This window comes from Homo sapiens, chromosome 1 (genome assembly GCF_000001405.40).
Source record: "Homo sapiens chromosome 1, GRCh38.p14 Primary Assembly".
In the NCBI taxonomy this organism is placed as follows: Eukaryota; Metazoa; Chordata; class Mammalia; order Primates; family Hominidae; genus Homo; species Homo sapiens.
In genome coordinates this window covers 221760846-221785353 of record NC_000001.11, presented here as the reverse complement: position 1 = coordinate 221785353, position 24508 = coordinate 221760846, and the positions used below count along the sequence as shown (strand labels likewise).

The 24508-nt window shown below is 40.7% G+C and overlaps 4 annotated features.

The window, feature by feature from the left end:
* Positions 6395-6444: an enhancer, noted in NCBI's record as "active region_2570". NCBI's record gives its function as "activates an Ori minimal core promoter by ATAC-STARR-seq in GM12878 lymphoblastoid cells {active_cell/tissue: GM12878}" and the evidence as "EXISTENCE:reporter gene assay evidence [ECO:0000049][PMID:35858748]".
* Positions 7495-7544: an enhancer, noted in NCBI's record as "active region_2569". NCBI's record gives its function as "activates an Ori minimal core promoter by ATAC-STARR-seq in GM12878 lymphoblastoid cells {active_cell/tissue: GM12878}" and the evidence as "EXISTENCE:reporter gene assay evidence [ECO:0000049][PMID:35858748]".
* Positions 7575-7624: an enhancer, noted in NCBI's record as "active region_2568". NCBI's record gives its function as "activates an Ori minimal core promoter by ATAC-STARR-seq in GM12878 lymphoblastoid cells {active_cell/tissue: GM12878}" and the evidence as "EXISTENCE:reporter gene assay evidence [ECO:0000049][PMID:35858748]".
* Positions 7695-7784: an enhancer, noted in NCBI's record as "active region_2567". NCBI's record gives its function as "activates an Ori minimal core promoter by ATAC-STARR-seq in GM12878 lymphoblastoid cells {active_cell/tissue: GM12878}" and the evidence as "EXISTENCE:reporter gene assay evidence [ECO:0000049][PMID:35858748]".

Below are 24508 nucleotides of genomic sequence, written 5' to 3'. Positions count from 1 at the left end.
AAAAAGGTAGATATGTGGCTAAGTGTTCAGAAATCAACAACAGCCATGATCCACTATCACTATGCTGTCACATGCACCGTAAATACAGCAAGAAAATCTATCCCAGTTATTGAAAAGGAGAATGCAGGTAGATACCAGGAAGACTGTTCCAGCTGTTAAGCTTTGGGACAGATGACCAAGGGCTATTTGACTCATTTGTCAGAGCTTGAAGGATACATTAAGTAATAGCTACACAAGCTGTCTTGGTTGATGCCCTGGCAGAAGTTGAGGGAAAGTATTTTATGACCTTCTCACATCATTTTTCACTCTCTGGGACTGTTTCTGCTCATAATTGTCATATGTTTTCTTCCCACGACATTCATTAATCTGTAAGATACAAAGATGTTCATATTTATTTGCATTTAAATTGCTTTCCCCTTTGAATCTAGATAACACCTGAGGCTTTATTAGTGTGCTCATTAGGAGTCATTACCACACAGAGATGAGGCTGGAATGAGAGGCAGGTCGCTCTGTGCACATGCAAAGCCTGCCCAAACTGTAGCCTGGAAGAGAGGACAGAATGGGTTCTGGGTCGCTTTCTTCCCTGGAGTTTTCTCTGAGATAAGCCTGCTTGTCAAGCAATACGTCTGTGCCTGACCATGAAGGCTGCCCTGATGCTGAATGAGAATACTCAAAAAAGAAGAACATTCTGAATACTCAGTTCACTGAATTATCAAAGCTTCCTTGCAAACGAGAGCTTGGCTTCTACTTTTTCTGGCCAATTTAATCAAAATAGCTCCACTCATTTCTGCTTAATGATTTGGCTTGCAGGATGGCAGTTGTGAAGTTTGAATGGGCTTTTCAGCTCACCCATTTTTGTCAGGATTCAGGGCTGGCAAAGCCTACAAGTTGGTTGATTTGGGCAATCCATGTATATCTGGCTTTTAGAATACCTAGTCATTACTGCGTGCTGGAGGACACGGGGACTTGTGAGGGTGCTATGGGTTGATTCTGGGTCTGGGCTTCTGCATGGTTGATGATGCCGCTGCACTTCTGACCCTGGTTTGTGATCATTGCAACCCTACCACATCCACAAGGAAGCCTCTATTCAGCTTAGGTCACCGCAGTCCAAGGGAAAACCAGCCTGGCTTTGCCACAGCTGCTACCATAATAAAGGCCAAGTTTCTTGCTTCCCAGGCCTTTCTACGTGGCCCACATGGGACTATACAGGCAGTTCTCAGTTTTAAACGTTGAATAAAACCACATCCCTCTCAGACTCCTCCCTCTGCCTCTCCCCCTTCAAACCTGGGTGACCAAGTTCTCAAATTAAATTCCTTCTGTTTTAAATATTTAGAGTGAATTATCTTTCCCTGGTTGGACCCTGGCTTCTCTAGGTACCCTGGAAAGCTACCTACCTAGACTTGATCCCTGCCCCATGCTGTTCACCACTCTCCCTTTGGAATAGCTTTGCACAGATTATGCAGGTGAAGTTGGATAGTAGCTCTAATTCAGTCCAGGGATCAATGGCCAATTCAGCTGTGTGAACTTATAAAGTTTTTGCATCTATCTCTCCTGAGTCCACTTTTCATCCTAGATTGGATAATTCATTCATCATTCACTCATTCATTCTGCACATTTTAGAGAATCCCTCTGTCTGCAGAAATCATTTCCGGAGACCCAATTACAGAGAAGCAGGATGTGGGCTATGAAAAGCACAGAAGCCTCTTTGGAGTCTAATGTCAAAATTTCCCACCCCAGCTGTGTAGAGAGATGTGAGGTCTGCAGGACCCGGGTGCGGGGAAAGCATAACTAGAGCTCTCCTCTCCTCACCAGAGCTCCCATGCAATTGACTACAGGGGTCAATCGCTCTGCTTAGGGGCCTGGTAGATTGTTAAAAAAAAATGCGCTCTAGCACACGGTAGGGAAAAAATAGCATTCCACATTCTGTCTGTTGCAAAATGATTCCACACTGTTATCAATGCAGGCAAAGCCCTCTTAAATCAATCAGTGTGACCTCCCTATACCTCTGCATAAAATAGGCAGAGGGAAAGTAAATTGTGGTGCACAACCAAAATCCACATTTCTAAAAATGAAATGGAAAGGAAAAAAAGGTACACTTCCCCACAGAAGTAGAATCTTCTTCATTTAACACTTAACAGTTGCTGCTATTCATCAAATACTCATCATAAAGCCAGAACCACACACTTGGTTTCACTGTGTCCCTGACAGCACAACAACCCAACACAGTAGGCTTTTGTTAATCCCTGTTTTACAGATGAGGAGTTTAAGCCCAGGTACATTTCTGTATTTCACCAAGAATATGTAGCTTGTAAGTGGCAGAGCCGGGAGCCACACCTAAGCCCATTGATTTCTCAAGCTCAGGGTCTTCCCATGATTCCTCACCAGCCTGCAATTTTCATGTTAGCGTCCTGGGTTTCTGGGTCACTTACCCATAATGGGTCTAGAAAGCAGGCTAGTTTCCTATCATGGTGCCAGAGACAAAAAGAAAAAAAAAATGAGGAAAGGAAAAATCCATGCTGAGAAAAAAACAAAAAACAAAACAAAAGCCACAAGCAAAAGGACAATGCCATGGGGTTCTTAATGGTTCGGGAGCCACCTGACTTTGCTCCCTTCCTTTTGCAGGGATAATGACACTGTTTTTCAAAGAGGAGTGGCTTGTGTGGCCTCTCAGAGGTTTCCTGGAATGTAGCTCCACATTTCTGGTGAGCCTGTGCTGCTGGAAATCCTGAGCAACGGAGAGAACATAGGCACTGGAGAGGAAGAGCTGGGCTGAATACCAACTCTGTTGCTTACTAGCCAGCTGAATCTAGGTCAGTTACTGAAACTCTTGGAGCCTCAGTTTCCTTGCTTGTAAATGAGGATATCAGTCATTCTTCCATCATCAATTTGTTGTGAGAACTAAATGAGATAATAATCATACTTTACTTAGAACATTGCTTGCACCGTTAGTGCTATCTAAGTATTAGCTGCTACTCTTAACATTGTTTATCATGCTCTCAGGTGGTCAGAGAACACAGATGCCCGTTCTTGTAGACAAGATATGTTTCTTTCAAAAACGCCAATGAATCAGTGTTGTGGCCAAGGTATGTTTGACACCTGGACAGTGCTGCAGGACCTCAACAAATACTGGCCCCCACCAGAGAAGGTGTCCCCAAAGCTTTTTTCCTGCAAAGTGGAATGGCCTTCAGGCCCAGCACCATATTGAGGACCACGTTGTCCTCAGGGCAGCTTCCAACTCTGAATTCAAAAATGGTATGTCATATATTCTTGAGGTTTCATGGATATACTTGACACCTCACATTTCTCATTCAAATTCAGGGGGAGAAAGGAAAACCGGTTCTGGAGAAGAGGCTAGAGGTGGGGCAGGTTGGTGAGTACTCATGGTTCTCCCATCACTTACCCCGACTTCCACCCCTCAGGACAGCCACTGCCACACACAGGTCTCCTAGGCTTGCCCATGTCCATCTTGAATGGTCATCTTCCTTCCTTTCTGTGACTTGCCATCTTTTTGCAATAGCAAGCTGTTTCTAGACCTTTCTCTGCTTCAATTTACCTCTTGCCTTACTATTATTTAACTACAGATTTCAGTCAGCTCAAGAGAGCATTTTTGCAGGAGGCAGAGAGAAGGAGCCCAAATGAGAAAGTGTCTTGTTACAAAATCCATTTTTCTGTAACGTTTGAGGCTTGGAGCTTCCATTTCAGGTTGACATTTTAAAATGTATCTGTAAGAACACCAGTAAGGGAACCGATAATGACACTGCATTTCGGAAGCCCTTTCACAAGATGGCTGGGGAGATGATTTATCATATTTATTTATTCCAATTTGTCAGCTAATGGTGGGGCCTGTATCAGGGCTGCACGCACTGGTGCTTGGCTCTGGTTTCAATGCCTCTGCCTTGCTCGCCTTTACCCCCGGCTTCTCCTCCTTTCCCAGAGGGTCCAGCTGCATCAGGTGACAATCCCTCTGCAACTGTGCAACCTGGAGGGACAGGGCAGTTTGCAGTTGGGCAACGGCCAGATGATATCATGCAGTTTCACTTCAGTTTCCCCAAAGTGAACTGGGTCAAGTGTATTGAGGGAAAAAGGCCATAAGTGGCTCAATACCAGACTGCATCCCTGGAAGCAGAAAGCATGACTCATGGGTAAGACAGAGACCCCACAGCAGGCTGGTCAACCAGTGTGCTGAGCCCTCACATACACCAAGCCTAGCAAGGCTCTGCATAAGTCCCAGTTTCCTCATCTGTGAAATGGACACAGGCCCTTTTGGAAAAGGCATTTGCCTTCTTACCTACAGAATGTATCTGCAAAGGGATTAACACTTAGAGCAAGCCTAGTCTATAGGGTTGTCTGTGTCCTGGGAACTTTACCCTTCTGAGTATCTTCTTAGTGCTAGTTTGAATTTGCCTCATTACACTGTTATTTCAGAACTCATAGAAAAGCCTGGCTTTTGTACTCACAGCAAGACGGAGTAATAGGAATGGAATAGAATTAGCAAGTACTAGCACAGTAATCACTAGCACATGATCGGGTGAGAGGTGATAGGGTTTGGGGGTCATCTTCCCTGAGTATAATGGGGTGTTCAATGGGTAGGTGGAGCACTGCCTTAAGGAAACTAGAGAAGCAGGTGTATTGGTTATCTATTCTCTGGTTCTGTTATCTGTTTGACAAGTAGCCCCTAAATTTTGTAACTTAAAATAATTATTCTCTAACGGTTTCTGTGAATTGGGAATTCAGGAGCAGCTTTGTTGGTGGTTCTGGCCCAAAGTCTCACATGAGGTCACAATCAAATGTCGGCCAGATACAGTCTTATGAAGGCTTGCCTGGACCCTGGGATCTGCTTCCAAGGTGGCTCCTGACCCTTCGTGGACAGCTCTGGTTCCTCCCCAGGGAACCTCCCACAAGGCTGCTGGGGCTGATGGCAAGGTGGCTGGTTTCCCCAGGGGGATGGGTCCAAGGGCACAAGACAGAAGCCGCGACATCTCCCATGACCTCACCTCAGAGGTTGTACATTGTCACGTCAGCTGCATGCTACTGTGGTCACACAGGTCACCCCGAGTGAATGTGAGAGCAAACTGCTCAAGGGTATGGCTTCAAGGTGAGGATGAGTGGGGACTACCTTGAAGCTGTCTACCATAGCGGAGAAGGTGCTATTTGGAAATGCAGGAAAACTGGATTTGAGGATGGGATTGTTGCAGGGGAAGGACAGGGAATAGCAGACAGATATCAAAACAGAAGCTTGGGGACCAAAGCCTAAACCATGGGCCAACTTACTCAAACTGGATCATGGATTATGAATCCATGCACAGGAGACTCATGACCTTAAGGAAACCTGCAAGGGAGGTGACATGACTCAGGCTGCAATACTAGCTTGACTCCTGTCACTTCACTGCAGAGGAATTTGTGAGCCAGGCAGGATCCTAATGTGCATCTCTGGGCCTGCTTTCTCCAGGCTGACTGATAGAAGCTGTGGCTTGATGCTGAGTTCACCATCAGGGCTGAGGCTGCTCAGGAGCTTCCTTTTCCAAGCCCAGATAGGTCTTAGAGGTAGGTAGAGTGGCCGTCCATGCAGGGAGAGCCCAGAGGCTGGAGAGCTAGCTAGGCTCTGGTTGCGTCTGTTTTGTGGCTAGGTGGTTGGTTTCGCCTTGTGTCCTTAGGAGGTCCAGGGCTGCCCACGGCCACCATTGGTTTTCAACTGTGTGAACAGACACAATGCCCCAGACCAGGGAAGAGAACACTGCGAGTGTGCAAGCAAACTCATAACCAGCACCCCAATGTGCCTTTGTTTGCCCTCTCCCCCTTGGCACATAGAACCAATCTAAAAAATTGCTCCCTTACACTTCTATCAAAATCTCAAATTTTCAAAGTCCTATCAAGAATATTATCCCATAAGCCAAGGCTAGAGATGAGTTTTCGTAATAACTTCACCAGACAAAAGAGAAAACTGAAGCTACAAGAGGCAAGACCTACCCAGAACCATTTGGCTGAGCCCAGCACTCTGCCCATGGTCCATGCACCCCTTGACCCTGACATCAGCAAAGCAGTCCCCATCACCAAAGTGCTATGTGCCATGTGCCCCTGGGAAGAAGAACCAATCTGAGATTGCAAACAATGGGAAAGGACCTCAACTCTTGTGAGGCAGCTCTAAGAACTTTCAGCCCTAGACCTGTACATTTTTTGTGATTTTTTAAAAATGTAACTCACCATGCTATACACATCCTTAGCACACATCCCGTACACAAGCTCACTCTGCTCCTGGCATTGAGCACCCAGGGTCTCTTTAGGGGACTCCCTTTTTCTCCCCTGAACGGGCCACTCTTTACCATCAAAATGAATTGCCTATCATCTGTACTCGGCTTTTTAGCAGTCACAAATACAGGGTGGGGAATTTATTGGATACCAGGTGTCCTATTAGCCAAAGTCCTTTCCAGCTCATGCTGCTGAATGAGCCAGGTCATGACCCCAACCAGGCACTCTGGTTAGAGCTCAGTGTAGACAGATGTGCACACACTGCTGGGCACAGAAGGTTTGGGAGTGTAGACAGAGGAAGTGAGTCCTGTCAACTGGGGCGGCTCCTGCACTGAGCAGTGAGGGCTGTGAGTGAGAACTCTCTGATGCTTCCTCTCTATGTAAGGCCCGTGAGCTTTATGACTTCCTTCTGGCTTGGTTGTAAGCGAAAATCACCTCAAAAGGGGCGTGGGTAAGAGCTACTAGCCTTCTTGGAATGCCTACTATGTGCCAGACATGAAAGCAGATGCTTTTTTCAAATACTTCTGTCGGATGAACTTTCTTATTATTGTGGTACAGATGAGGAGGCAAAATCATTTGTCTAAGACCCCACTGTTTCAGCTGCAAGCTTTCGTGGCTCCTCAGTTTGCATTTTTTCCTCACTGCAGTATCACTTTGTGAAGGAGGTCTGAAGTCTTCAAATGAAAATAGAGTTTTCTCCTTATGTAAGTATAGCAATCAAATGTTCTGGAAAGAACACTGTGCCCAGCCAAATTGCTCTAGATGTTCAGGGCAGGAGAGGGGCGGATATCCTGGTGGTGATGACCACATAACAAGAAGAGACAATGTGTGCTTAAGGTACCAGCATCTCAGGGTGGTCTAGTATTTCTCAGAGAATGGTCTGAGAGTTGGCCTCTCGTGGTATAGGTAAATTTTTAAGTATTTATGAAAATGCTTATATGTCTGGTTTCAGCCTGATTTAGTAATTTGCTTGTATAATCTCTATGTCTATTCTTGGTGGTCCAAAGGGCCCAGATTAAGAATTTTATAAACATCCTGCTGTGTTTAGTGTGTTATACCTCGGAGTATCTATTTCGCTAACCCAGATGGTGCCGTTACCACACACATATCCTGCAAGGGGAGGGAATTGTATTAACAAGTATAACCAGCAAAACCACAGCATTTCACTTTAGCAAAAGGGGCCGAAACAGGAAGCAGGTAAATTCCCTGCTCCCACACATCTACCATTCTCTCCTCCCTTCTATGAACTTAGAGTCTCTGGTTTTGTGGCCACTGAACTTGTCTCCACCTCTAGGGGCCAAATTGGGCACTGGGGGGAATTCACAAGCTTTATATTTAGCTCAAAATCACCTGGGCTATATGTGGGCTCATCACTTCCTTAAAGGTGGAAGAAGTTATAATTTCTTTTTTCTCTCTTCTCTTTCTCTCTCTCCATCTTTTCTCTTCTTTTCCTCTGTCATTTTCCCCTTCTCCTTCCAAGCATTATAGTCTTCCTTGGACCGCTTTTTCCGAATTGGCTTCCACTGGCCCATTCCAGAGTACAATTACTAGTACTGTACTACATTTCCAATAGTCAATAAGAAAGCAGAAGTGGCCACATTGGCTTCCCCTAAAAGCAGCATCAAATTTCAAGTACTTTCTTATATTACCGCCGCTCATTCCACCACCCTCTATAAGCACACAACTCACTGCTGAGCACATCATAAATGCTAAAAAGTAGTGAATAAATCAACGAATTAAATAATTCTTTTATTCTAATTTTTTTTGTACAGCAAGCCATTGTGAATAAGATGGTTCTTTTATCCCCAAAGAGGTTGCCTATTGACTGAAAGCCTAAGCACAGCTTCTGAGAGTCACAATGAGATCACATCTCTACTGTACTGAAAATCTTTTCAGGCACCAGAGAGAAAGGCCTGAGTGTGATTCTCCTTCCCTGGTTCTGAGTGAGAAGGTCATTAGCTCACTAGGTACTGGCAATTTCAAGAATTGCCAAAATGACAGTGATGTGATAAGAACAACTATCCTGTTGGGTCTTTGTGTAGTATTTTTCCTTTGAAAACAGCTTTATGCTAATTATCCCATATGAAACACAAAAAAAAAGGAAGTGTGAGGTCAATGTGGCTAAGATTTATGTCCGTTTTGCAGACGTGGATCTGAGATATCTCGTGATTTGCTGGTGGTTGCACAGGTAGTGGAAGAGCTGGGGTGGAAGGGTTTCTTCCTGAGCAGGTGGCTGTTCCTCCCAGAAGTCCTGCCTACCTGCCTTTCTCTTGCTGACAGCCATATCACCCACTTTGTTTAAGGGTCAAAACTGTCTCAGGTTGTTCTCACTGCTACACACCCACTAGCGCCATGACAAATTACAGATGCCATGGCAACATCAGGAAGTTACCCTGTATGATCTAAAATGGGGAGGAACCCTCAGTTCTGGGAATTGTCCACCTCTTTCCTGGAAGACTTGTGAATAATCCATTCCTTGTTTAGCCTATAATCAGGAAACAACCATAAAAACGGGCAACCAGAAGCCCTCAGGGCTACTCTGCCTATGGAGTAGCCATTGTTTATTCCTTTACTTTCTTAACAAACTTGCTTTCACTTAAGAAAAAAAAAAAAACTTTCTCCAGTAAAAATTTATGTTCACACCTAAAATTTGTAAACCAATGTGCATAGCATCTTTATTCATGATGGTTAAACACTGGAAACAATCCAGATGTCCATCAATAGACGAGTGGATAAGCAAAATGTATAATCCGTGCAATGGAATATTATCGGGCTGTCAAAAGGTATGAAGAGCTGACACATGCTGCAACATGGCAAAACCCTGAAAACATTATTTTAAGTGAAAGAAGCCAGTCACAAAAGCCCACATTATGTATTATTCCGTTTAGACGAAAAGCCAGATTAGGCAAATGTATATAGATGCAAAGTAGATTAGTGGTTGCCCAGCGTGGGGAGTTGATGAGGGTATTGGAAACTGATGGCTAATGGGTACGGATTTCTTTTAGGGGTGATAATAATGTTTTAAAATTTTTGATGGTGGCACAACTCTGTGAATATACAAAATCTCACTGGGTTGTATAATATAAAAGAGTGAATCATATATGTAAACTATATCTCAAGAAAGCTGTTATTTTTTTTTAAAGACTGACTCTCGGCTGTGGCTTTCATAATCTTCTTTGGCCATGGCTTTCCCCAGGGCTCCAAAGCTAGGCAGTGCCCAAAACTGTCTCCTCTAACTTTGTTTTACAGGGAGACATTCCTCCAACTCTGCCTGCTCAAATTTGTGGGGTGAAATCTGGTGCCTCTATATTTCCAAATACAAAGCGCTAGAGGTTAAGTTGTGTGCTTCTCAAATGTCAGTGTACATTCTGATCCCCTGGAGATCTTGCTAAAATGCAGATTCTTAACCTTTGGGTCTGGGACACAGACTGAGATTCTGCATTCTAAGAAGCTCCCAAGCAATGTCAGTGTAGCTGCCGTCCTCATTTTGGGAAGCCAAGGTGTCGACCACAGACCCAGAAGATGCAGCCTTTGACTCCTCAATGCCACCAATACAATTCAATCAAATATCAAGATTTTCAAAACATAGTCAATCGAATGTCTTTTTCCCACTCTCTATCCAATTATTAGGTGCATTTATAATGGAAGATTGTTAAACACGATTACCAACTTGGTGAAATCCTTTGGTACACAGTAATGTTTATGGAAAGCACCTAACAACTTGGTGGAGTATTTTTTCTTTGAACTGACTGAATTGGCCGTTTTTGGTTTGCATCATAGGGAAAACCCTGAGTTGTGCTAAGTCTGAGCTTCCTTAATCATTAACTATACATTTTAAAAGCACAAGATTAATTTCTGTGTTCCAAACACCAAACATGTTGTCATTTTGAGGAGTGGGCAGGTTCAGAGGACCTCCTTAGAAGGAGATAAAAGCCAAGAGATGATGAAGTTTTTATTTTTATTTCGTTTTATTTTATTTTATTTTATTTTATTTTATTTTATTTTATGGTAGAGATGGGGGTCTCACTATGTTGCCCAGGCTGGTCTTGAACTCCTGACCTCAAGCAATCCTCCCACCTTGGCCTCCCAAAGTTCTGAGATTACAGGTGTGAGCCACCACGCCCAGCCTGGATGGTGAACTTAACTTAGTTTTATAGCATCAGTGGATTGTGATAAGAGTTATGTACACAACTTAATTTTTGTTTAATAAGCATGTGGTGTGTATCTGTAACATAAAGAACACTATGCCTGTATCTCAGGAAGAGATATGTAAAGATGAATAAGATGCTGTCTGTGCCCAAAGAGAGGCCTTTATTCCTAGTCAGGGAGAGAAACAAGCTCACCAAGAAAAGCAAGAAATAAAAGGGAGAAGGAGAGAGCTTTTTGCTTGTTCTTGCTGTTTGATTGGCTTAAATTTTATCTCCATAGATTTTACTTTCTCCAGCTGCAAAGCTGAAGGCAAAGCTGAAGAATCCTGGACACTCTCCTTTGTTCAAATAAAACTTCTATTTACACAGGATTTGCTAAAGGAGTACAAGGAAATGGCAGAGATAGCATTAAGCTCACACAGCAGTTCCGGAAAGCGCCCCTTCATTGTTCTCAGGCTCGTACCTGCAGTAACAGGGCCTATAGGCTTTGAACACAAGACAACTGAGTTCGGAACCTCAGAAGAATTCTGGATATGGTACAAAAAAATTCAGGTTCAAATTCCTGTTGTGCTCAAGTTTAGATATACGATGATCATTGCTTTTTAAACCTGCTGGGGCTTATTTTTTCATCTGCGATATAAAGATGATTATACTAATTTCTTCAAAGGATGACATGAGCAGGAAATGAGCTAATGTATGGAGACAGTTTCATGAACTGTCCAGCACTCTACATATATAAGAGGTAATGACTGTTTTTCCTAGCCCATGTACTTCAGGTCTCGGCTGTCCCTCTCCTGCCCTCAGGTCTGGCAAACCCCACCTATCAACTAGCCATGGCTGCTGTGCTGTTTCAGGGCCCTGCTTGATGATCCAAGCGGATGTGGGGTCTTCCTAAAGACAATGCATTGTGATTGTGACCAGAAGGAAACTTAAGTCCAAGTCCTCAGTGAATTATCTGGGACTCAGTGTCTTCAGCTGTAAAATAAAGTTATTGACTACATTTTGAAATTCCGTTATAGAAATGCCTGCCCCATAAGCAGGCATGATTTATATTGGGGCACTGTATCTGTCTCCCGTATGAAGAAAAAAGCTTATAGTTCATTCTTTTTCTTCCCTGGGTTTTTGAGTCTAAGCCCTTATTTTCCACAAGCTGGGAAACTGGAAGAAGGGAAACACCGCAATAAATCTGCTGAATTAGCCACCACCCCTTTCTCCTCATCCCCACCAGGCTTGGGAGCCTGAACCACCTACAGGCCTCCCCACCCTTCCTAAGGAGAACAGGAGCCACTTATCAGCTCCAGCTTTGGAGCTTTGCAAGCTAATCAACTGCAGATTTCCTAATTCCTGTTATCTCCATCTAAGTGATAAGCCAAACATGGAACAAACTCTTATAGGAAGAATACTACTTTTAAATATGATTGATAAAATAATAGCTGAGCCAGCAGAACCTTTACTGATAAAGGCTAGTGAAGATTTCTATCAGAACTACTGTTGAAGAGGGTTTTTTTTTAACTCGACCATAATTAATTCCATCCAAAATTTGCTACATAAATTCTTACCTCCGGAAGGTAAGATAAAGTGCATTATACAATATGCATGCATGCGTGTGTGTGTGTGTGTGTGTGTATACATATCTATATATCTATATCTATATATACATATATAGATATATATATATACACATGTTAGGTAAGTTCTTTCCAAGGCTCACTTGATGGATATAGGGCATAAATCCAAACTCTGGAGAATGAGATATTAATAATTACTTCTGTAGTGTTTGATACTTGCGAAGTGACTTGCAGTTATTTGTTACATAGTTATTTTACATTGAACAGTGTTCTTTCTGGGTAAGTAAGAGCGGGGAATGAAGAATGGGCTGCTATAAAGGTCTAGAAAGATGTCTTTGCCATCTTTTATGGTAGATGTCCTGGGGGAGCCCAGGTTCTCCCTCTGAAGAAGCAGACCACTGTGTCCAGCCACTTCTCCCTTTGTGTCTCTGGCCAAATATCCATGGAACAGATAGAACAGGTGAAGGCTAAGTTTTCACTGTGTAGTTGTGATCAAAGTCCTCTTTCTTGACGTAAAGCTGTAACTGCTCCCCCAGCCCCTTCTTTTCTATGAGGATGTCCTTAGTTTTGTTGGGAGAAGGCAGATAACAAAGGTTCAGCAGTGAGAAGGCCTAGGTTCTGGTCCCACTCCCTTTCTAACTAGCTGTGTGATTTTTGTTAAACAAATTCACTATTTGTGGTCTCTGCATTCTTCATTTGTCGTACTGGAATGACAGCATCTCATCTATTGGGTATAAAAAGGTTTGTTTGTTGTGAGAGTAAAATAATGAGAACAATGGCACTTTGAAGATATTCAAAGTTCTGTAAGGTTAGAATGATGTTATTATTACTGCTATTCACATAAACGGCTTCTATCCATCCCATCCAATCTGAAAATTGATATACCTTGGTCAACAGCCCCAATCTAGATTTTAACCACGCACTTTGCCTTGCTCCTAATTTATTTATGGTTGCAACTTTGTTTTCTTTATACTGAGAGGCCTGATAGCATAGTGATTGAGATGACTAATTCTGGTTTCAGATGGACAGGATTTAAATCCTGGCTTCATCAGGACGTCTATCTCTGGCCTTGATGAAGCAACTATTACTGGACTAGCCTTCCTGCCATAAACAAATATAAAACTGTTACAACATGCGTGAGGCACTTTTTTAGTTATTGAACAATAGATTGCCCCTGACTATGATCCTTGAGAGAAGGAAAACACACAAGATGAAACTGACATTTGCTCCAGCTCTCTTCTCATGGAAAACAGATCCACATTATAGCAGAGAGAATTGGACGGAGCAAAGCAGAGCACAGGGGTGTCCCTTAGCCAAGGATTAGCATTGAGGCTGATAAAGGGGCTGGAATCTGTGGGGTAGGACATAGGAGAGAAGGGAGATGTGAAGAGAGGGCCACAAATCTATTTAGGGGTTCTCCAAGAGTTCTTGAATGGGACATAGTCTGTGTGTGCAGAGGAAGAAAAAAGGAGTCTTATCAAGTAGCAGCTGCTATGGGATTACAAGTGGAACAGAGATACTTGAGGTCGAGCAGTGCTGGAGATGTCGGAGAACCAGTGTAGGGTCTTGTTAGGGCCCCCAAATCCTGAGAGCTGAGGAAAGTCATATACTAGACCTAAGGGGCATGCCCTAGAGTAAGACCTATTCTATAATCACCTTATCAAGCCCTCATACCAAGCTTTGACAAGATCTGCATGGAAAACAGAGTTAGGAATTTGAAACCCACCAAAATAAAAAGCCTTGGGCAATATCTTGGGCTTTTTGCAAATCTTCCCTGACTAAACCTAACATAAAGTCTAAACAAGTTCAAAGTGATTGGCCAGTAATTGAACTGTTTGCTAGAATATAGCCCAATGCACTTAAGAGACTGATAACAAAGTCCAGTGTCTCTAAAATGTATAATTTACAGTGTCCAGTGTACAATAGAAAATACTAATCACACACACACAAACACACTCATGAAAATATAATTTATGGTCAAGCAAAAGAAGTCAATAGAATTTGACCTCAGGGTGGCCCAGATGTTGAACTGTGCTGACAAATACTTTAAGGCATCTACCTAATATATATCCAAGAATTAAAGAAAACAAGATCTTAATGAACATATTTTAATGGTCAACATATTTTAACATAGAAAATCTTAGCAGAGGGAACAAAACCGTAAAATAGAACCAAATGGACGTTTTAGAACTAAAAAGTAAAATAATTAAAGTAAAAAATTTACTAGGAGGTCTTAAAGGAAAATTTGAGCTAGAAGAATAAAAGGACTTAATGAGATTTTAAAGGGGCTTAAAGAAATATAGATATAAATTATCCAATTAGCAGAACAAAGGGGAAAAGGTGAAAGAAAAATAAATAGGGAGCTTCAGAAACATGTAGAGTAATTACATGCATTTAATTGGATTTTCAGGAGAGGAGGGTGAGAATGGAGAAGAAAAAAAAAATGTGTTGAGAAACAATGGTGGGCCAGGTATTGTGGCTCATGCCTGTAGTCCAAACACTTTGAGAGGCTGAAGTGGGAGAATGGCTTGAGTCCAGGAGTTCAAGGCCAGCCTGGGCAACATGGTGAAACCCTATCTTCATAAAAAATAACAGAAATTAGCCGGGCATGGTGGCACATGCCTGTAATCCCAACCACTCAGAGGGCTGAGGCATGAGAATCGCTTGAGCTCAGGAGACAGAGGTTGCAGTGAGCTGAGATTACACACTGCCCTCCAACCTGAGTGACAGAATGAGACTGTCTCAAAAAAACAAAAACAAACAAACAAACAAAAAACACAAAGAAATAGTGGCTGAAAAATTTCCAAATTTGAAGGAAAACATCACTTACAAATCTAAGAATTTGGGGAAATCTTAAGCAAAATTAATACAATGAAAACCACACCAGCCATATCATAGTCAAACTGTTGCAAGCCAGAACTAAACAGAAAAAGCTTTAAAAAGAAGAGGGGAATAACATAAAATAAAATAAATAGCTATCAAGCCATAAAACATATGGAGGAATCTTAAATGCATATTGCTTTGAGAAAGTAGCCATTGTGAAAAAGGTACATACAAGTTATATGACTTAAACTATATGACATTCTGGAAAAGACAAAGCTACAGGGACAGCGCACAGGAAAAGACAAAGCTACAGAGACAGCTAAAAGATGAGTGGTTGCAAGGGGTTTGAGGGGAGAAGGAGAGAAATAAATAGGCAAAACACAGGGGTTTTAAAGGCAGTAAAACGATTCTCTATGATACTATAATGGTGGATACATGACATGATTGTGCATTTCTAGAGCTGAACAACACAAAGAGTGAATCCTAATGTACACTGTGGACTTAGCTGAAAATAATGTATCAATATTGATTCATCAATTATAATAAATGTATCACACCAATGCGAGATGTTTAGGGGAAACTTAGTGGGGGTGAGATGGGGAATATGGAAGCTCTCTGTACTATCTCTTCAATTTTCTGTAAACCTAAAACTGCTCTAAAGAATAATCTATCAATTATCTATCTATCATTTTTAAAAAGGATATATACAAGAGGAAATGATAAGAGATTTTGACTACTTATCACTGAAAACAATGGAGGCCAGAAGACACTGAAGCAATGCCTTTAAAGTGATAAATGGGACAAAAACCTGCCAACCAAGCTTTCTACATCCCAAGGAAAAATGTCCTTCAACAATGAAGATAAAATAAATACCTTTTCAGTGAACAAAAGCTGAGAGATGCAACTAAGAAGACAATATAAGCAATAAAACACAATACCAGTATTATTCAATTAACTCAAAATAGGTTTTAAAAAAGAGCAGCAGAGGAACAAAAACATGAGGGACAAATGTAAAATAGACAGCAAGATGGTAGGTAAAATTCAACTACATAAATAATTTCATTATACGTAAATGAACTGAACACTACAATTAAAAGGAAGTAATTGTCAGACTGAATAAATAAAGCAATACTCAATTATGCTGTCTAAAACAAGCACAATATAAATAGAAAGTAAAAGATGGAAAGAAGTATAAAGTATGAATAATATGCACTTTAAAAATTCTGTGTTTATATTAATCAGAGTAGACTTAAGTATTAACAACAAAGAGAAACATTGCATAATAATAAAAGGGAAAATCATTAGGAAGATAAAGCAATCTGAATGTGAATGTAATTAATAACAGAACTTAAAGATATGTGAGGCAGAAGCTGACAGAACTGAAGGAAATAGACAAATCCATCCTAAAGGAGATTTTAACACCCCATGTCTGTGAGGGATCTCCAAAGAAATAGAATATATATTTTATATATAATCTACAGATTACATATTAAATATGTTATATATGCATATATTTATAGATGACTACATATCATATATGTAATCTCTAGGATATATATATATATAAAATCATAATAGATCCAGATATACACATAGAGGGAGATTTATTTCAAAAAATTGGCTCATGCTATTGTGGGGCTGTCAAGTCTGAAATCTGTAGGGCAGGCCAGCATGAAAGGAAGTGACAAAAGGAAAACTCAGACAGGAATTGATGTTGCAATCTTTCTCTTTGGTCTTTGAACTAATTGAATGAGGCTCACCCACATAATTAAGGTGAATTTCTTTCACAAATAGTCAACTGATCGTTGATGTTAACCACTTTTACAAAATAAATACCTTCACAGCAACACTTAGGTTAGTGTTTGTTTAAGTAGCTGAATATATCAGATGTTAGAGAGATTATGGAGAAAAGCGAATGCTTATACACTAGTGGTGGGAATGTGAATTAGTTCAACCAGTCTGGAAAGCAGTTTGAACATTTCCCAAAGAACTGAAAACAGAACTACCATTCAACCCAGCAATCCCGTTACTAGGTAAATGCCCAAAGGAAAATAAATAATTCTACCAAAAAGACAACTGTACTCGTATATCTATCACAGCTCTATTCCCAAGAGCAAAGACGTGGAATCAATCTAGATGCCCATGAAAAGCAGATTGAATAAGGAAAATGTGGTATATATACACCTTGGAATACTATGCAGCCGTAACAAGGAATAAAATCCTATTTCCTGGAGCAACGTAGATGCAAAGTGAATTAATGCAGAAACAGAAAATCAAATACCGTGTGTTCCCACTTACAAGTGGGAGCTAAACAGTGGGTACACCTAGATGTAAAGATGGGAACAGTAGACACTGGGGATGCCAAAAGTGAAGAGGGAAGAAAGGGGGCAAGGGCTGAAAACCTATGGGTACTATATTCACCATTTGGTGACAGACTCATTAGAAGCCCAAACTTCAGAATCACACAATATACCCATGTAAGAAATCTGCACATGTGCCCCCGAATCTAAAATTAAAAACAAACAAACAAAAAACTGGATGCTAAAGTCTATGCAAGTTGACACATAAAACTAACCACTCTCAGTAATTGATAGAATATATATATAGACATTCAGTGAAGATATAGAAGATGTGAAGACACCATCAATCAACTTGACCTAATTGACATCTGTAGAAACTACAGCAAATAACTTCAGAGTACACATTATTATTATTTATTATTATTATTATTACTATTTTGAGACAGAGTCTTGTTCTGTCACCAGACTGAATTGCAGTGGCGTGATCTCAGCTCACTGCAACCTCTGTCTTCCAGGTTCAAGTGATTCTCCTGCCTCAGCCTCCCGAGTAGCTGGGACTACAGGCATGCATCACACGCCTAGCTAATTTTGGTATTTTTAATAGAGACAGGGTTTCACTATGTTGGCCAGGATGGTCTCGATCTCTTGACCTCGTGATCCGCCCACTTCAGCCTCCCAAAGTGCTGGGATTACCGGCGTGAGCCACCGTGCCTGGCCAGAGTACACATTATTTTTAAGTGCACATGGAGCACTTACAAGACAGACCACATGCTGGGCCGTAAAATAAATCTCAGTAAATTCCAAAAGACCAAAGTTTGGCTTAACTGGTACCTAACGTATGATCACGGGCAAGTCAATAACGTTCTATAACTCAGTTTTCCTCATGTGAAAAATGGAAATGGTAATAAACTGCCATTGTTGTTGTGTTGAGATTTTTGTGAGAATTCATTGAGTTAACTTATGAAAATCCCTTTGCAGAATGTCTAGTAAATATTCCATAATTATAGCATGATGATGATGGTGGTGATGATGATGATGATGATGGAAAAAGAGGAAGAGAAGGAAGAAATAAAAGGGGAGGAGGAAAAGGAGGGCTGTGTGTGGTGAAACAGGAGTAGGAGAGGCAGGAGGGGAAGGAAACGCGGAGACAGAGGGAGAAGACCTGGCCCAAAATAAGCATAAAATCAGTGAAATCCAACATATAATCATTTGTTAGTGGTAGTAAACATTCATTCATTCAACAAATACTGTTGAAACTTTAGTACATGCTAAGCTCTCTGCAGGAGAAAAACACTAGTGACAAAAACAGCTACTGTCCCTGCTTTCATGAAGTTTATCACCTGGTGGGGGAAATATATTAATCAGATAATCACTGTGAGATTAGTGATGTGAGGGAAAGGTTATAATTCTATGACAGCATCTAAAAGGGAACCTGACACAGGTTGGGAAGAAGAGGGCTCCAGAGAGAGCAAAGAATGTGCAAAGGCCCATTTGATGTATGGAAAGACCAACGTGGCTAGATGGAACAGAGAGACTAGAGTACAGCGCATGAGGAAGCCACAACTGGACTGTAGACTGTGCCAGACACTGTGCAGAGCATCTCACAGACAGTATCTCATTTGCAACCATTCTGGAGTAAATAACTGACTAAAACGAATGGTTTGACTTATTGTTTTCAGTTATAGCTAATAATTTTTCTATAGTTAGGTTTAATTAATCATCTAATTTTTGTTGATCTTTTGGCACCAGTAATATCTTGAGAATCTCAAAGGTAGCAATTATTTCACACACACACACACACACACACACACTCACACACACACACACACACACACACACACGAACTTTAACAGGATGTTTGGTAATTGGATACCCATCCTGCCTTCCTAAAATGAAAACATCTGTTTGACCACTGTTCTAAGTTCAGAGTCTGCAACAAATGCTTCCATCTGAAATAAAAAACCAAAACTAGAACAATTTCCCAGTTTACACCTTAAATAATATTTCCACTATCCTCCCAGTGCAATTTGATTTTTTATCCTCATGAGAAGTGCAGAAAATGGAAGTGGACATTTCTTTTTCAACAAGGATGCTAGAAGTGCTATATGTGTATATGTATACACACACATACACAGACACCCACACAAACACAGACACACACTCCTACCAAGATTGGGGAGAAATACTATTGGTTAAAAAAATAAAATAAAGCATATTGCAGTTGGCAAATGAGGGGTTTCATAAGGTCCCCAAGCATCTGGTCTGGGGCTCAAGGTATGGCCATTGACCTAGCATTGAGGTCAGCTCTGGAGTTGGAGGGGGTTTTGTGGGGCTTGAAGCTTATACAATTTGGGGGAATCCAATGTAAGGAAAACAGTACCAAATTACGTATACCAAATCTGATCCAAAAGTGATATTCATTTAGAATGAGAAGTCACAAAAAATTACATATGTGGCAAAGCTAGTGGTTCACAAATTCTACAAAATACAGAAAAATAGTGTAACAACACAACTTAATTACTCAACTTAATTTATGGCCTCGAGAACACAACTGCATGACTCACCTCTAAAGTATTTTTTTTTCTTGTATATATTCACCACATATTCTTTGACCACCTTTTCATATATCACTGGTTTTGGAATATCATTTTCTGTACAGAGAGTATAAAGATAAATTGTCTTTTCTCTAACAAATCTTATTGAAAGTTTTTAAATAAACTTTATTTTTTAGAATAACTTTAGATTTACCAAAAAAAATTTGTAAAGTTAGTATAAACAGGTCTCATACACCCCATACCTAGTGTTTCCTGTAGATTCTCACATTAGTATGATACATTGATTATAATTAATAAAGCAATATTGATATTTTATTATTAAGGAAAGTTCATACTTTAGGTAGATTTTCTTAGTTGTAAACAAATATCTTTTTTTTTTTGCCACTCCAGGATTCATAAAAGATACCACATTACACTCAGTTGTAGTGTCTTCTTAGTCCCCTCTTGGCTGTGGTAGTTTCTCAGACTTTCCTTGTTTTTGAGGACCAGTTTTGAGGAATATTGGTCAGGTATTCTGTAGAAAGTCTTTCAATCAGTGTTTGTCTGATGTTTTTCTGATTAGACTGAAGTTACACTCTTGGGGAGGAAGAAAACACAGAAGTAAAATACCATTTTCATCACATCATATCAAGGGTCTATGTTGCCAACATGACTTATTATTAATATCGATGTTGACCTTGGTCTCCTGGCTGAGGTGGTGCTTCTTAGGTTTCTCTGCTGAACAGTCTGCACGTTTCCCCTGCTGTACTCCTTTGCATGCTGTATTCCTTCAAAGGAAGTCATTCTGCACAACCTATACTCAAGGAGTGGTGAGTTATAGTCCACCTCCTTGAGAAAGAAATTCTACATAAATTAGTTGGAATGCTTCAGCATGAGAAATTTGTCTCTTCTCACCCACTTACCTATGTATTCAAACAGTTATGTATATCACTATGGACTTGTGGATATTTATGTTATATGTTGGGTTGTAATTAAATATTATTTATTTTTTGCTCAAATTATTCCTGCTTTAACCATTGGGAGCTCTTTCAGTTGGCTCTTGTGCCCCTTTAACATACCCCTGTACTTTTTTTTAAATCCTTTCTTACTTTCTGACACTATAGGATGCTCCAGATTCATCTTGTATGTTTCCTCTCCCAGTTCAGAATCAATTATTTCTCCAAAGTGCTCTGTTTCCTTTTATTGGAGAATGATATTAAAAACGAAGTTGTAAGTATTAGGTGTGCTCATTACTACTACAGTGTTATTGCTTGTGGGCCCTTGCCACTGACAAAACAAGGAAAAATAGGTGTATATACTAACTTGTGTATACATACATATCAGTAAATATTTCCATATGTAACTATCCATATCTATATGAAGCTAAACATCAGTTCATACTGATGTCTCTAACTCCAGTCCATTATCTTATGGCTCATTCTAGCTTCTTTCTTTTGCTTTTCTGTAACCTCCTACTCCAATAGTGAGAAACCTGGCTCTCACCATCCACCATCTATTTACTTAATTATTTAATTTCAGTATACATGCTACTATAGTTTGAATATGTCCTCCAAAATTCATGTCAAAAATTAATCCCCATTTTGATGGCATTAAGAGATGGGACCGGGCCAGGCACGATGGCTTGTGCCTGTAATCCCAACACTTGGGGAGGCTGACATGGGTGGATCACCTGAGGTCAGCAGTTCAAGACCAGCCTAGCCAACATGGTGGAACCCCATTTCTACTAAAAATACAACATTAGCCAGGTGTGGTGGTGCGCACCTGTAATCCCAGCTACACGGGAGGCTGAGGCAGAAGAATCACTAGAACCCGGGAGGTGGAGGTTGCAGTGAGCCGAGATTGCACCATTCCACTCCAGCCTGGGCAAAAAGAGCAAAATTCCATCTCAAAAAAGAAAAAAAAAAAGAGTTGGGACCTTTGGGGAAGTAATTAAGTCATGAGGGCTCTACTGGAGAGAATTAGCTTAGGACCTTGTTTGCTCTTACACTCTTCTGCCATGTGAGGACACAGTGTTCACTCCCTCTGGAGGATACAGCAACAAGGTGCCATCTTGGAAGGAGAGACTGGGCCCCTCATCAGAAACTGAATTTGCTGGCACCTTGACCTTGGACTTCCCAGACTCCAGAACTTTCAGTTCTTCATAAATTCCCCAGTCTTAGGTGTTTCGTTATAGCAGCACAAAATAACTAAGACACCTGGATAGTGATTTTGGAATTATTAACCCTTATGCCTGTGGGACACAACTTTATCAGATAGGGTATAGTGCTTATGCAGTGTCTGTTGCCTTGAGTCTTACAGATTCCACTCATTTCCAAAGGCTCTTCTCCTTCTCCCCCATCCACTTCAGTAAGCTTGTTTCATAAATTTTTAATTCAGTTAGATTTTTATATCACACTCTGCATTCCATCCTAGGATCTCCTGACTTCCTAAATTTTTAAAAATTTGTGTATATTAAGGTTCATCTAGTGTCATAAATCCACAATTATAGGAAATTTTTGTTTTCATTTTTTTTTAACTAACGATATTGAGTTGGTGCAGAAGTAATAGCAAAAACCGGAATTGCTTTTGCACCAACCCAATAATTTAGAGAAGTTTCTTTCAGATTTGTTATTCATTATTACCAATGCCAAATACATTTTCAGAATTGTTATTAAAGTTGGAAAAACTGTTGAAGTTTCATAAATGAGCTATAAGATTTGGAAGAATTTTCTGTAAACTAGCACCTGGTGCCAAACATTTCAAACCTTGTTTCTCCTCCACAATCCACATATAATCCACATACTTCTGATGCCATGTCCCTGCATCTTTGTGTCACAACAGCAAGTGAGGTCATGCAATGAACAGTGGAAGTATTCCTGAAAATCAGTCTTGCTTGAGAATAGCCAGTAGCAACTTAACTATACATGGAAGTGTCTGAGAAGTACATAAAACCCCCAATGATTTTAACCAATTGCAATTTAAATATGTCAGTTTTGACAATTTTTCAAAAATATGTGACCATGTGGACACAATGCTAGGGCCATTAGCAAGTAATAGACTCTTAAGCTTAAGTTTGTTAGCTTCATGGCAAATCTACCCCTGAGTTAGAGAGATCATTCTTTCACACACCCAACAAATATGTACTGAGCACCTACATATGCAAAGGACTAAGTGTTCAATGATAAGTGAGATGAAGTCTCTGCCTTCAGGCCCTCATCAAAAACTCATTCTAACAGAAAGAAAAAAATACAGATTATCAGCCAGTAAACAAGTAATTTCAAAATGTTATCTGCTATGATGAAAATAAACAGGGTGCTATGACACAGAATAAGAAGAGGACTCAATTTAGAAAAATTCTTAGGGAAGTGGCATTTAAGCTCAGAACTGAAGGAAAAATGGAGCCAGATATGCAAAGAGCTGAGATAAGAGCCTTCCGGAGGGGAAATGGCATACTCATATATGTTAAGGCTGGAAAGGAGTCCATTTACTCCAGGAACTGAGCGAGGCTGGAATTTAGTGAGGGAAGAAGAAAGGATATGAGATGAAACTGGGGATAGAAGTAGAGGCCAGACCCTCCAGGGCCTCCCAATACAAAGTGATTTTATTCTAAAAGCGGAGAGATAACAATGTAGTGTTTCAAGCAGGAGGCTGACCAATTCAGATTTTTGTCTTTTAAAGAATTATTCTGTAAGAGGAACAGATTAGAGAGACATAATAAAGAAGCAGAAAGACCAATTATCTGGATTGAGGGCTAGCTTTGACATTTCCAGGCTATGTGGCCTTGAGTAAGTTACATAACCTCTTTTAGCGTCCTCATCTGTGAAATGAAATAAATAGTTCTGATACTTCACAGGATGATTGTGAAGGTCGAATGAGGCTATGCAAATAAAATGCTTCCCACCATATCTGGCACACCGCTAACACTCAATGTTAGCTATTATTACTGTTGTTACTATTGTTAGGACCAAAGCAACGTGTGGTCTTAAGAGAGAAGGGAGAGTTAGAGCAAGGACTCAGAGATAAGTGGTCAAAGCCCAGTTTGAAGATTGTAACCTCTGTGGGGAAAGGGCTGGAGAATGAAACCTGGAACCACATTCTAAGCAGCACAGAGGACCTGGGACATGGGCACTGGCATGCAGTCTCTCTCACCTATGGTCAGAATTGTGCTGGAACCTAGGGGCAGAGCTCAGAAGCTGAGCTGGGGTGGAACAGAAAGCTGGGCCTCTCCACCCACCTGCCATTTGTCTGCCCTGAGAGGCTCCCTGATGAGACCTAGACCACCTATGAGTATAAAAAGCAACTGAAACTTGTAAAATAGATCAGGGTCCTGATCATCCACAACTGTTTTCTCTTACTGAGCAAAGCACACTGTTGAGTGAATACAAAACAGGAGGCTAAATCTCAAAATGAACTGAAGTTAAGGAGAATAAACACAACTTTTATTGATTTATCTTTGTTGTTGTGTTCATAGCAAGAGCAGGCAGGAAGGGGACTAACCACTTGTATATCTTCAATCATTATTTTAAAATCAAATGAATTTGAAGCCCATGCTTTCTGAAAAGACAGGAAGAGACCTGGGCTGCTTCCTATGCAGTCAGATATCTGGTCCAAAAGATTAAGCTAGACGCTGGGATACATGAGTGAGTAAAACTGGAGGAGTTGTTACTGTTCAGAGATTACAGTCTAGTGGTAAGAATTTATAAAATTATAAAATAAAAGAAAGACTGTAGGTTCTTGTAGTCAGAGGGAGCGAGCACACACTATTGTGGGGGTGATGAGAACCGGTTGGCAAAGTCTTTCCCTAAAATTCTCTTTCCTTAAAAGCTTAGAATATACCTTCTTCCTTTTACTCTTTCTTTATCTCCAATTTCTGCTTCTCCCTCCCTACA